This window comes from Homo sapiens, chromosome 2 (assembly GCF_000001405.40).
Source record: "Homo sapiens chromosome 2, GRCh38.p14 Primary Assembly".
In the NCBI taxonomy this organism is placed as follows: Eukaryota; Metazoa; Chordata; class Mammalia; order Primates; family Hominidae; genus Homo; species Homo sapiens.
In genome coordinates this window covers 209,786,327-209,800,771 of record NC_000002.12, presented here as the reverse complement: position 1 = coordinate 209,800,771, position 14,445 = coordinate 209,786,327, and the positions used below count along the sequence as shown (strand labels likewise).

Below are 14,445 nucleotides of genomic sequence, written 5' to 3'. Positions count from 1 at the left end.
CAATGAGAACAAAGAGACAACGTACCAGAATCTTTGGGACACAGCTAAAGCAGTGTTTAGAGGGAGATTTATAGCACTAAATGTCCATATCAGAAAGCTAAAAAGATCTAAAATTGACCTGCTAACATCACAATTAAAAGAGCTAGAAAGGCAAGAATAAACTAATCCAAAAGCTAGCAGAAGACAAGAAATAACTAAGATCAGGGAAGAACTGAAGAAGATAGGGACATGAAAAACCTTACAAAAAATCAACAAATCCAGGAGCTGTTTTTTTTTTTTTAAATAACAAAACAAATAGACCACTAGCTAGACTAATAAAGAAGAGAGAGAAGAATCAAATAGACACAGTAAAAAATGATAAAGGGGATATCACCAATGACCCCACAGAAATGCAAACTACCATCAGAGAATACTATAAACACCTCTATGCAAATAAATTAGAAAATCTAGAAGAAAGGGATAAATTCCTGGATGCATACACCCTACCAAGACTAAACCAGGAAGAATTTGAATCCCCGAATAGCCCAATAGCAAGCTCTGAAATTGATGCAGTAATTAATAGCCTACCAACCAAAAAAAGCCCAGGACCAGATGGATTCACAGCTGCCAGAAATACAAAGAAGAGCTGGTACCATTCCTTCTGAAACTATTCCAAACAATTAAAAAGGAGGGATTCCTCCCTAACTCATTTATGAAGCCAGCATCATCCTGATACCAACACCAGGAAGAGACACAACAAAAAAAATTTCAGGCTAATATCTCTGATGAACATTGATGCAAAAATCCTCAATAAAATACTGGCAAACCAAATGCAGCAGCACATCAAAAAAGATGTCCACCATGACCAAGTTGGCTTCATCACTGGGAAGCAAGGTTGGTTCAACATATGCAAATCAATAAACGTAATTCATCACATAAACAGAACGAAAGACAAAAGGCACATGATTATCTCAATAGACACAGAAAAGACCTTTGATAAAACCCAACATCCCTTCATGTTAAAAATTCTCAATACCTAGGTAATGATGGAACATATCTCAAAATAATAAGAGCTGTTTATGACAAACCATAGCCAATATCCTATTGAATGGGCAAAAGCTGGAAGCATTCCCTTTGAAAACTGGTACAAGATAAGGATGCCCTCTCTTACCACTCCTATTCAACACAGTATTGGAAGTTATGGCCAGGGCAATAAGGCAAGAGAAAGGAATAAAGGGTATTAAAATAGGAAGAGAGGAACTCAAGTTGTCTCAAGTGTCCAGACAACATAATTTTTATATAGAAAACCCCATCATCTCAGCCCAAAAACTTCTTGAACTGCTAAGCAACTTCAGCAGTCTCAGTATACAAAATCAATGTGCAAAAATCACAAGCATTCCTTTACACCAACAATAGGTAAGCAGCGAGCCAAATCATGAATGAACTCCCATTCACAATTGCTACAAAGATAATACAATACCTAGAAATACAGCTAACAAGGGATATGAAGGACCTTTTCAAGGAGAACTACAAACCACTGCTCAGGGAAATAAGAGGACACAAACAAATGGAAAAACATTCCATCTTCCTGAATAGGAAGAATCAATATTGTGAAAATGGCCACACTGCCCAAAGTAATTTATAGATTAAATGCTATTCCCATCAAACTACCATTGACATTCTTCACAGAATTAGAAAAAAAAAAAACACTTATTTTATTTTTTTAAAATAATGAATTTAAAATAAATTAAATTTAAAATTTATTTTAAATTGTATATGGTATCAAAGAACTATCAAAGGAGACCCATAGGCTGGGCACGGTGGATCGCGCCTGTAATCCCAGCACTTTGGGAGGCCGAGGTGGGCGGATCACAAGGTCAGGAGATCAAGACCATCCTGGCTAACACAGTGAAACCCTGTCTCTACTAAGAAAAAAAAAAAAAAAAAATTAGCCAGGCTTGGTGGTGGGCGCCTGTAGTCCCAGCTACTCGGCAGGCTGAGGCAGGAGAATGGCGTGAACCTGGGAGGTGGAGCTTTCAGTGAGCCAAGATCACACCACTGCATTCCAGCCTGGGTGACAGAGCAAGACTCCATCTCAAAAAAATAATAATAATAAAAATAAAAAAATAAAAATAAAAATAAAGGAGAGCCGTATAGCCAAGACAATCTTATGCAAAAACAACAAAGCTGGAGGCATCACACTATCTGACTTCAAACTATACTACAAGGCTACAGTAACCAAAACAGCATGGTATTGGTACCAAAACAGACATATAGAGCAGTGAAACAGAACAGAGACCTCAGAAATAACATCACACATCTACAACCATCTGATCTTTGACAAACCTGACAAAAACAAGCAATGGGGAAAAGATCTCCTATTCAGTAAATGGTGCTGGCAAAACTGGCTAGCCATAGGTAGAAAACTGAAACTGGACTCCTTTCTTATACCTTATACAAAAATTAACTCCAGATGGATTAAAGACTTAAATGTAAAACCCAAAACCATAAGAACCCTAGAAGAAAACCTAGGCAGTAGCATTCAGGACACATGCATGGGCAAAGACTTCATGACTAAAATGCAAAAAGCAATTGCAACAGAAGCCACAATTGACAAATGGGATTTAATTAAACTAAAGGGCTTCTGCATAGCAAAATAAACTATCATCAGAGTGAACAGGCAGCCTACAGAATGGGAGAAAATTTTTCCAATCTACCCATCTGACAAAAGTCTAATATCCAGAATTTACAAGGAAGTTAAACATATTTACAAGAAAAAAACAGACAAGTCCATCAAAAAGTGGGCAAAGGATATGAACAGTCATTTCTCAAAAGAAGACATTTACACAGCTGACAAACATATGAAAAAAAGCTCAACATCACTGATCATCAAAGAAATGCAAATAAAAACCACAATGAGATACCATCTCATGCCAGTCAGAATGGCGATTTTCAAAAAATCAGTAAACAATAGATGCTGGTGAGGCTGTGGAGAAATAGGAATGCTTTTACACTGTTGGTGGGAATGTAAATTAGTTCAACCGTTGTGGAAGATAGCATGTCGATTCCTCAAAGATCTAGAAACCAGAAATACCATTTGACCAAGCAATCCTATTACTGGGTATATACCCAGAGGAACATAAAGACACATGCACACATATGTTTATTGCAGCACTATTTACAATAGCAAAGACACGGAACCAACCCAAACACCCATCAATGATAGACTGGATAAAGAAAATGTGGTACATATATACCATGGAATAGTATGCAACCACAGAAAGGAAAGAGATCGTGTGCTTTGCAGGGACATGGATGAAGCTGGAAGCCATCATCCTCAGCAAACTAACACAGGAACAGAAAACCAAACACCACATGTTCTCACTCATAAGTGGGAGTTGAACATTGAGAACACATGGATACAGAGGAGGAACAACACACACCAGGGCCTGTGGTGGGGTTGGGGGTGAGGTGAGGGAACTTAGGGGACAGGTCAATAGGTGCAGCAAACCATCATGGCACTCATATACCTATGTAACAAACCTGCATGTTCTGCACGTGTCTCATTTTTTTTGTTTGTTTGTTTCTTTAGAAGAAATAAAGGAAAAAAAAGAATATTGTTTAACAATACAAAGGAATGAATTACTAATACATGCTATAATGTGGATAAATCTCAAAAACATTATGCTAAGTGAAAGAAGCCAGATTCAAAAGGCCACAGACTGTATGAATTCATTTATATGAAATGTCTAGAAATGCAACCCAATAGAAATAAAAAGTATATTAGTGGTTATCTGGGGCTGGGTGTGGGAATGGGAGTGACACAAGGGATGGGCACAAGGGACATTTTCGGGTGATGAAAATGTTCTTAAATTGGATTGTAGTGGTAGTTGCACAATTCTGTAAATTTACTAAAAATCATTAAACTGTGTATTAGTTCGTTTTCACGCTGTTGATAAAGAAATACCTGAAACTGGGAATATAAACAGGTTTAATTGGACTTACAGTTCCACATGGCTGGGGAGGCCTCAGAATCATGGCAGGATGTGAAAGGCACTTCTTACATGGTGGCAGCAAGAGAAAAATGAAGAAGCAGCAAAAGAAGAAACCCCTGATAAACCCATCAGATCTCGTGAGACTTATTCACTGAGACTTATCATGAGAATAGTACAGGAAAGACTGGCCCCCATGATTTTATAATCTCCCCATGGGTCCCTCCCACAATACATGAGAATTCTGGGAGATAACATTCAAGCTGAGATTTAGTGGGGACACAGCCAAACCATATCATTCCACCCCTTGCGCCTCCAAGTCTCATATCCTCACATTTCAAAACCAACCATGCCTTCCCAATAGTCTCCCAGAGTCTTAACTCATTTCAGCATTAACCCAAAAGTCCACAGTCCAAAGTCTCATCTGAGACAAGGCAAGTCCCTGCGCTTATGAGCCTGTAAAATCAAAAGCAAGTTAGTTACTTCCTAGATACAATGGGGGTACAGGTATTGGGTAAACACAGCCGTTTCAAATGGGAGAAATTGGCCAAAACAAAGGGGCTACAGGGGGCATGCAAGTCCAAAGTCCAGCAGGACAGTCAAACTTTAAAGCTCCAAAATGATCTTCTTTAACTCCAGGCCTCACATCCAGGTTACACTGATGCAAGAGGTGGGTTCCCATGGTCTTGGGCAGCTCCACCCTGTGGCTTTGGAGGGTACAGCCTCCCTCTCGGCTGCTTTCACAGGCTGGTGTTGAGTGTCTGCGGCTTTTCCAGGTGCATGATCCAAGCTGTCAGTGGAACTACCATTCTGGGGTCTGGAGGACAGTGGCCCTCTTCTCACAGCTCCACCTGGCAGCACTCCATTAGGGACTCTGTGTGGGGCCTCTAACCCCACATTTCCCTTCTGCACTGCCCTAGCAGAGGTTCTCCATGAGGGCCCTGCACCTGCAGCAAACTTTTGCCTGGGCATCCAGGAGTTTCCATATATCTTCTGAAATATAGGCGGAGGTTCCCAAACCTCAATTCTTGACTTCTGTGCACCTGCAGGCTCAACACCACATGGAAGCTACTGAGACTTGGGGCTTCCACCCTCTGAAGTCACATCCTGAGCTGTACATTGGCCCCTTTCAGCCACAGCTGGAGCAGTTGGGACCCACGGCACCAAGTCCCTCGGCTGCACACAGCATGAGGACCCTGGGCCCAGCCCACGAAACTGCTTTTTCCTCCTGGGCCTCTGGGCCTGTGATGGGAGGGGCTGCTGTGAAGGTCTCTGACATGGCTTGGAGACATTTTCCCCATGGTCTTGGGGATTAACATTAGGCTCCTTGCTCCTTACTTATGCAAATTTCTGCAGTTGGCTTGAATTTCTCCCCAGAAAATTGGTTTTTCTTTTCTGTTGCATAGTCAGGCTGCAAATTTTCTGAACTTTTATGCTCTGTTTCCCTTTTAAAACTGAATGCCTTTAACAGTACCCAAGTCACCTCTTGAATGCTTTGCTGTTTAGAAATTTCTTCCGCCAGGTAACCTAAATCATCTCTCTCAAGTTCAAAGTTCCACAAATCTCTAGGACAGGGGCAAAATGCCACCAGTCTCTTTGCTAAAACATAACAAGAGTCACCTTTGCTCCAGTTCCCTACAAGTTCCTCATCTCCATCTGAGACCACCTCAGCCTGGTTTTATTGTCTATGTCGCTATCAGCATTTTGGGCAAAGCCATTCAACAAGTCTCTAGGTAAAGTTCCAAACTTTTCCACACTTCCCTGTCTTCTTCTGAGCTCTTCAAACTGTTCCAATCTCTGCCTGTTACCCAGTTCCAAAGTTGCTTCCACACTTTTGGGTATCTTTTCAGCAATGCCCCACTCTACTGGTACCAATTTACTATATTAGTTCATTTTCTTGCTGCTGATAAATACCCCAAACTGGGAACATAAGTAAGTTTAATTGGAGTTACAGTTCCACATGGCTGAGAAGGCCTCAGAATCATGGTGGGAAGTGAAAGGTGCTTCTTATATGGTGGTGGCAAGAGAAAAATGAAGAAGAGACAAAAGTGGAAACCCCTGATAAACCCATCAGATCTCATGAGATTTACTCACTATCGAGAATAGCATGGGAAAGACTGGCCCCCATGATTCAATTACCTCCCCCTGGGTCCCTCCCACAACACGTGGGAATTCTGGGAGATACAATTCAAGTTGAGATTTAGTGGGGCACAGCCAAACCATACAAAACTGTAAACTTAAAATAGGTTAATTTTATAGTATGTAAGTTACACCTCAATAAAACTAGTCTTAAAAATGTTCCCTTTTAAAATACTATGTATTACTAGGCTATAATTTTATTTGAAAGTAGGGATATACAGATAGTCTCAGGAGCTCTTGCCCCATAGGTGGAGTGTCAAACCTCATGACTCCAGGTGTCCATAATTTCAACTGGTAATAAGAAGAAATAGACTATTTCTTGTTTCTGGAGAAGGTGTTTATAAGCAAATTCACTATGTGCACCAAATAACAAGGGTAGGGTTAGAATATTTACAAAGAATAGACTTTTAAATTCCTATGTGATTTAGAAGCACTAATTTTAATACAAGGATCTAGCGGTATAAAATATTCTTATATATTAAAACAGATCCTTTAACATCTCTGCAACATAATCTTCTGATAGCATCATTTGAGTTCTGCACTTAAACATTTTAAGTAACACCTAATTCAGACATCTCATTAAATCAGAAGCATCTTTTCCACTTTCGCCCTAGTTTGTTTAAAGGAGAGCCATTCATAGCATATTTCTACAATTATTAATTATACTTTGACCAAGAATATGTATACACATATTATGCAAATACATATTTTAAGGAACAGAGGCTATCGAAGTAGTTAAAAATGCATATTTGATTTTTGGTGACCAGTGACACATTTTGTCCCTAACATTGCAATCAGGTACCTGGAATGTGATGGGCCTCTTTCCTGGGAAGTTTGGGAGGACAGACTTCCATCAAAGGAGTTTCCTCGGTGACAGCCTGAAATGGTGGCCTTGGGTGAGATGGAATCAGACTGGAATGTTTCACAAACCACCTGGAGTCCCTTTTGGAGGCAGAGATAGCAGATTAGGTTTTGTTTTTTGTTTTTTGTTTTCCCCTGTAGCTATATCATCTAGAATTAGCTACCATATTACAACATGGTTCCATATATGGGCTTTTTTTCACTATAGTTAATTATGATATTATGGGCCAAGGGATTTTGACTTCATCTCAGGGAGAATAGAAACAGATTTCTAGGGATCACCTGTGTCATTTCAAGCATCAGGCAAAGTAATTTCATATATTTTATTTCATTTTATTCTTAATTATTTTCTTTTTCATCTCCATACCCAGTATCTATAGGAGAGTTACACATCAAGAATTCATCATACAGAGGTGAACTGAATAGAAGCATGAGGCTAAAATAGAAGCACCAGGTTAGTAGTACCTAATCAGATTGAAGCCAGAACATGAGAACAGAAGTACAAGGTTAACTTTTCCTTCATTCATCAGTGGAGAGATGCAATACACTTTTCTAATCGGACACAATGACCTTTATTCTGATTTATAAGTACACATTCAGCAGTTCTGTTACCAGGTAGCTTATTTTAATTACATTTAGCTGATAAATGTAATTCTGCCCAGGTGATGTGAGATATTTTTCCATAGGCATTATAGGTGAAATTCTTTACTAAAGTATAAAGACCCTCAACAATCTATCTGGAAGGTTAGCCCTTACGATTTTAATTTTTACACACAAAATAAGGCATTATTCAATCATGATGGACAGAGAGATAAATACAGCTAGAAATTTCATGAATTAAGTCTTCTGAAGTTGACCATAAAATTCTTTAGCATAATGTTAGGTGATTTAGAGATTTAAAAAATTAGATGAATCTGACCCTTAAACTCATGAGCTTACAGTTATGTCTCAAGACAGGTAAGTATAGGTCAGAGAAGCGTGTCCAATAGAAAGATAATGCAAGCCACAAACAGCCACATATCTGATTTTAAATTTTGTAGAGGCCACATTAAAAATAGTGAAAAGGAACAGGTGAAATTGTTTTTAATAATATATTCTTTTTAACCCCTAATTATCATTTCAACATAGAATCAATATAAAAAGTATTAAGATGGAACCGGGCGCGGTGGCTCATGCCTGTAATCCTAGCACTTTGGGAGGCAGAGGTGGGCGGATCACGAGGTCAGGAGATCGAGACCATCCGGGCTAACATGGTAAAACCCCATCTCTACTAAAAATACAAAAAATTAGCTGGGCGCGGTGGTGGGCGCCTGTAGTCCCAGCTACTCGGGAGGCTGAGGCAGAAGAATGGCATGAACCCGGGAGGCGGAGCTTTCAGTGAGCCAAGATCGCGCCACTGCACTCCAGCCTGGGCAACAGAGTGAGACTCCGTCTCAAAAACAAAGCAAAACAAAACAAAACAAAAAAGTATTAAGATGTTTACTTTTTTCTTCTTTCTTTTAAGACAGGGTCTCGCTTACCCAGTCTGGAGTGCAGTGGTGTGATCTTGAATCATTGCAACCTCCATGTCCCAGGTTCAGGTGATCCTCTCCACTTAGCCTCCCAAATAGCTGGGACTAAAGGCATGTGCCACTATGTCCCGCTCATTTTTCTATTTTTAGTAGAAGCAGAGTTTTGCCATATTGCCCAGGCTGGTCTCAAACTCCTGGGCTCAAGTGATCTGCCTGCCTAAGCCTCCTAAAGTGCTGGAATTACAGGTATGAGCCACCATGCCAAGTCTACATTCTATTTTATACTATATTTTCAAAATCTGATGTACATTTTACAGTGTCAATTCAGACTAGCTGTATTTCAAGTGTTCAATAGCCACATGGGCCTAGAGGCTATCATATTGGACAGTGCAGGCTTAGACTAATAAGACAAGAGTTTAGGGGGAATTGGGAATTGAGATCTTTTTTTTTTTTTTTTTTTTTTTTTTTTTGAGACGGAGTCTCACTCTGTCGCCCAGGCTGGAGTGCAGTGGCACGATCTCAGCTCACTGCAAGCTCCACCTCCCAGGTTCACGCCATTCTCCTGCCTCAGCCTCCTGAGTAGCTGGGACACAGGTGTCCACCACCACACCCAGCTAATTTTTTTGTATTCTTAGTAGAGACAGGGTTTCACCGTGTTAGCCAGGATGGTCTTGATCTCCTGACCTTGTGATCTGCCCGCCTCAGCCTGAATTGAGATCTTAATTGGTCCTTAAAAGGATAAAATTTAGACGAAGGAAAGAGAAGATTCCAGTTAGAGGAAACAATTTGAGCAAGGATTTGGAGGCTAAAATGAGCAGGCACTATAAGTTAGAGATAATAGATAACTGACTGAAGGGATAATCAGAGACAGGGTCACTTAACAAAGGTGGTGCCAAGTGGTGGGAGGCACAAAAAAAACAGGGAGAGGAATTTGGTCTTGCAGCGACAGTCAATAGGATCCACTATAGGTTCCTAAGGAGAAAGCGACATGACAAAAGATGGCATTTGCATAAAATGCCTTATGTGGAATGGTGAGTTAATAAATAAATGATGTATTAGGAAAATTAGTCAGGAATTATTAGTGGTATTTATGCAAAGAAGAAAAGTCTAGAAGTATAAAACTCAATTAGGTAGGTTCAGCTGCAATTTAGTCATGAGGGCCTGGATTTAGAGGATAGTAGTGGTCATAAACAATAAAGAAAACATCTGAGCAACATAACGAAAAGAAGACAATATGACTTAGCAGGAAATCAAATCGAGAGGATTAAGTATAACATAATATGAGATGTATGTATTTCATTGTATCTAAGATGTCATCATTTAGAAGACATACCATTATTTTACGTAACATTAAGAAAAAAATACCCTGTTAATTAAACTAGGACATGTTACTTGTATCATTGAGGATTTTTTATTTTATACTAGTTGAAAGAGCTATTTTACATTTATTTAGGCACAGCTTTTTAATTATATTTCCATCCTGTGTCTATGTAAGAGGAAAGTATAAGTGAAATAAATTGGTGTAGGTATTCCTAAAACTCCTTCACATTTAAAATTTTCAACCCAGAATTGTTAATACTTGAGTTTTTCCAAAGAATAACCTCCTCTGTATCAAGAGTGTTATCTCTTAAAATACTGCTCCACTATTCCCTCTGACATATGCTTATAATCCACTGACCCTGATGATGCAAATTTAGATGCTGGAAATGACCAAATTCATGCTGCACAAGAATTACAACCATATCAAGACAGCTACCAGTAGGGAGATCATAAGGGGCCAAAGATTGTCAAGCATACTCAATTTCAAAGATGTTAAATGTGAAAAATATATACATCTTACAGCATACAAATCACAGCGTCTGTACTTAGTAATTGCTCACTAAATGGTAGATGTAATAGGACTCCAAAATTTCCAGGTTGGAGGGTAAAAAGGGTGATAATCTTCCTGAGTAATAACAGTTGGAAAGAGGATCCAATTTTGACGGAAGGCAGCAAGTTTCACTTTGCACGTGTTGAATTGAAAGTGAAAGCAGGTCATTTAATGCCATAAGTTAATGGTAGTATCGATTTCTATGTAGCTTTCAATTACTCCGGACTTCATTCCTTTCTTTTCTTGATCAAACATGACAAATTTGCACTGAATTACATTCTGCATCTTATATCATATTTTGCATCTTCCGTTTTATGTGGGTTAGTCTTGACCCCTCATTAAACTTTAGATTCCTTAAGGGGTAGGACTATCTTATAACTCCTTCCAACTCCCTCTTTCTGACCTCCGGCAGCATTATTCTACCTACATTAGAGTTACTTAACAAGCATTAGGGGATGCAATAATTGAGAACAAGGTGATATGTTATTTAATCTGGGATGTAATGATAACTAACACTTATTGAGTGTTACATGTTAGCCATTGAGATAAAGCACAACTCATTACACACTAACCACCGAGATAAAATACTAGTCGTATATGGTCTTATTTCCACACCTGCACGCTTTGGGGAGATACAGAAAATTAATTTTCATACGACTGATAAAAAACCTGAAGCTGTTAAAAGTTGCACATTCAGAAAGGAGGAGTGGCTTTGAGCCTGGTAGTGATTCTAGAACTCATGTCTTTCCCTTCACACTACACTATGTCCAAGGACTTTCTGCCTCCCTTCTTCTTATGATTATAATAAACTAACCTCTAAGTGTCTTGCATCTTGATTTGGTGATTCACAGGTCCGGCTTTGACTGTTGATAGGAGAACTTCTCTTAGCTGAAAAGACGGAAGAAGTTCCATCGTTTTGTAAGGTTTTAAGTTCTTTTTATTTCATAAGTTCATTTCATTTTCAAATAGAAAAGCTATTTTAATAGAACATTATTACTTTAAAAGAAGACATTAACGCATATTGTAAGAGATATTCAAATAACCAATTCAAAAATCTTAGCATTTTTTTGGTTATTGATGTAGATATTCATCTCTTCAGTCTGACTCAGTAAGTTAAGGTGCTAAAAAGTTGGCAATACTGAAAATAACAATAATAGTTAACACCTACTCAGCACCTAATATATGCAAAGTTCCTAAGCATTTTACATATACAGTCATGCATCACTTAAGGACAAAGATACGTTCTGAGAAATGTGTTGTTAGGCAAATTCATCATTGTGCAAACATCATAGAGTTTACTTACACAAACCTAGATGGTATGGCCACCTACACATCTAGGCTATATGACATAGCCTAGTGCTTCTAGGCTACAAACCTGTACAGTATGTTACTGTATTGAATCCTGTAGGCATTTATAACACAATGGTATTTGTGTATCTAAACATAGAAAATATCAGTAAAAATACAGTATAAAAGATAACAAATTATACACCTATATAGAGCACTTACCATGAATGGAGCTTGCAGGAATGGGTGTTGCTCTGGGTGAGTCAGTGAGTGAGTAGTGAGTGAATATGAAGGCAATGCTAAATTTATCTTTAAAAAGCTTTTATTCTTTAATAATAAATTAACTTTAGCTTACTATAACTTTACTTTATAAACTTTTTAGTTTTTTAAACTTTTTGACTCTTTTGTAATAGGCTTAGCTTAAAACAAATACATAATACAGCTGCACAAAAATATGTGATTTCTTTATAACTTTATTCTATAAGCTTTTTAATATAGTCATATATTTATAAATTTATATATTTATTTTACTTTTATTTGTATATTTTTTATATTTTATACTTTTAATATATTTTATAGTATATATTATTATATATACTAGTATGTAGTATGTATAGTATGTATTAAAAAGTATAAAAGTATATTTTATGCTTTTTATATACTTATAAACGTATGTACTTATTTTATACTTTTTTTTAAAACTTTTTTTTTTTTTGAGATGGAGTTTTGCTCTTGTTGCCCAGGCTGGAGTGCAATGGTGCGATCTCTGCTCACCGCAACCTCCACCTCCCAGGTTCAAGCGATTCTCTTGCCTCAGCCTTCCCAAGTAGCTGGGATTATAGGCATGCGCTACCAAGCCCAGCTAATTTTGTATTTTTAATAGAGATGGGGTTTCTCCGTGTGGGTCAGGCTGGTCTCTAACTCCTGACCTCAGGTGATCCGCCCACCTCGGCCTCCCAAAATGCTGGGATTACAGGCGTGAGCCACCGCGCCCGGCCAACTTTTTTGTTTTAAAACAAGTGCAGCTACTGCTTACTCATTATGTGCCAGGCATTCCTATTTTTGGTTAAAAACAAGACACAAACACACACATTAGCCTAGGCCTACCCGGCATCAAGATCATCTGTATCACTGTCTTCCACCTTCATGTCTTGTCCCAAAGGAAGGTCTTCAGGGGCAATAACACACATGGAATTGTCATCTTTTATGATAACAATGCCTTCTTCTGGAACATCTCCTAAAATACCTGCCTAAGATTGTTTTACAGTTAACTTTTTAAAAATAATAAAAATAGGTAGTAGGAGTAGAAGAAATATATTCTAAAATAACAATGAAAAGTATGGTATAGTAAATACATAAACCAGTTATATACTTGTTGGTTATTATTATAAAGTATTATGTGCGTATATAATTGTATGGGCTATACTTTTATAAAACAGGCAGCGCGGTAGGTTTGTTTAAACCAGCATCACCACAAACACATGAGTAATGCCTTGCACTATGTTACCATGGCTACGAGACCACTAGGTGACAGGAGTTTTTCAGCTCCATTATGATCTTATGGGACTACTGTTGTAAACACAGTCATTGACCAAAATGCTGTTATGTGGCGCAAAACTATAACTCATTTAACCCTTAAAATAACTCAATAATACTACCATATTATTATGCCAATTTTACAGGGTAAGAAACTAAGACACAGTGAGTTAAACTTGCCCAAGGTCACTTGACCCTTGCATGAAGGTTATAGCCCAGACTAACTTTAGAGTCTGTGCTTTAACTATTACATAAAGCTATCCTGGAGGTAAAATTCAAATCAGTTACATCTTTATCTGAGGACCAGGAACAGTGGGAAACTAAGATGGCAATGTCTCATTCAAATTGTGAGTAAACTGGTGCCGAGAAGGAAGGTGATTTATCAAGATCACCATGTGCCATTGCTTTTTCTTCTGGCCATGCTGTCTAAGCTGAGTCTGGTTTCTTAGTAGTTTTTATATATGTGTTAAATTATAGCTTATATGTTAATAAAAAAGATTGTCCATTGTCTGCACAAAACCCTTATGAATTAAGCAAATTATATATATGTGTGTGGTGTATTTTAAAAATATATAGGTATATATATATATATATATATATATATATATATATATATGCTTCTGTAGATTTTCCACATAATTTATTTCTTTTTAAATTTTATTATTAATACTAAAAATAGAGTTGGGAATAGAAGACTAGAATTTATTAAGCACTTACTATAAAGCAGGCACTTAATGCACTCTCATTTACTTCTTACTAAAAAGCCCTATAAGGTGGCATTATCACCTCAATTTTACATAAATGGAAATGCTTAGGAAAGTTAGGTTATATACATAGTAAGAGATAGATTTGGAGACTTGGAGGTAGACAGTGTGAGCCTGCTATGCACTTTTCAATCTATGATGTTGTGTTCTTTCTACAGTTGAACAGTGGGACTATTTCATTAGATAATTCCTGAAGAGAAATGCTTTGATAACAATACAACACTAAGATGATTTTGTTAAGGAGCCCCTGCTCCATTTACCATGATGATGATGATAACATAATAATAATAATAATCGCAGCTGCCACTTACTATGTGCCAGACATTCTTCTAAGCAGTTTTACATATATTAGCTCCATTCCTCATAACAATCTTGTAAGTAGTATTAATATGATATTTAAATTCCCAGTTTACAGATGAGGAAGCTGAGGCACAGGAAGTCTAAATGAATTGCCCAAAGTCCATGCTCTTGATTCAGAGTAGTTTCTCCTCATGTGAGTAAGCCCT

The 14,445-nt window shown here is 37.9% G+C and overlaps 1 protein-coding gene across 3 annotated transcripts in view; it reads right to left on the bottom strand.

Annotated features, from left to right (window-relative positions):
* UNC80 (unc-80 subunit of NALCN channel complex) overlaps positions 1-14,445 on the bottom strand; it is a 227,465-nt gene that overhangs the window by 198,525 nt on the left and 14,495 nt on the right. For all 3 annotated transcript variants that reach the window (NM_032504.2, NM_001371986.1, NM_182587.4), the window contains exons 6-7: positions 11,167-11,240; positions 6,913-7,052 (exon numbers count right to left, since the gene is read on the bottom strand). In NM_032504.2, coding sequence (NP_115893.1) covers positions 6,913-7,052; positions 11,167-11,240 — 214 coding nt within the window. The remainder of the gene's footprint in view (positions 1-6,912; positions 7,053-11,166; positions 11,241-14,445) is intronic.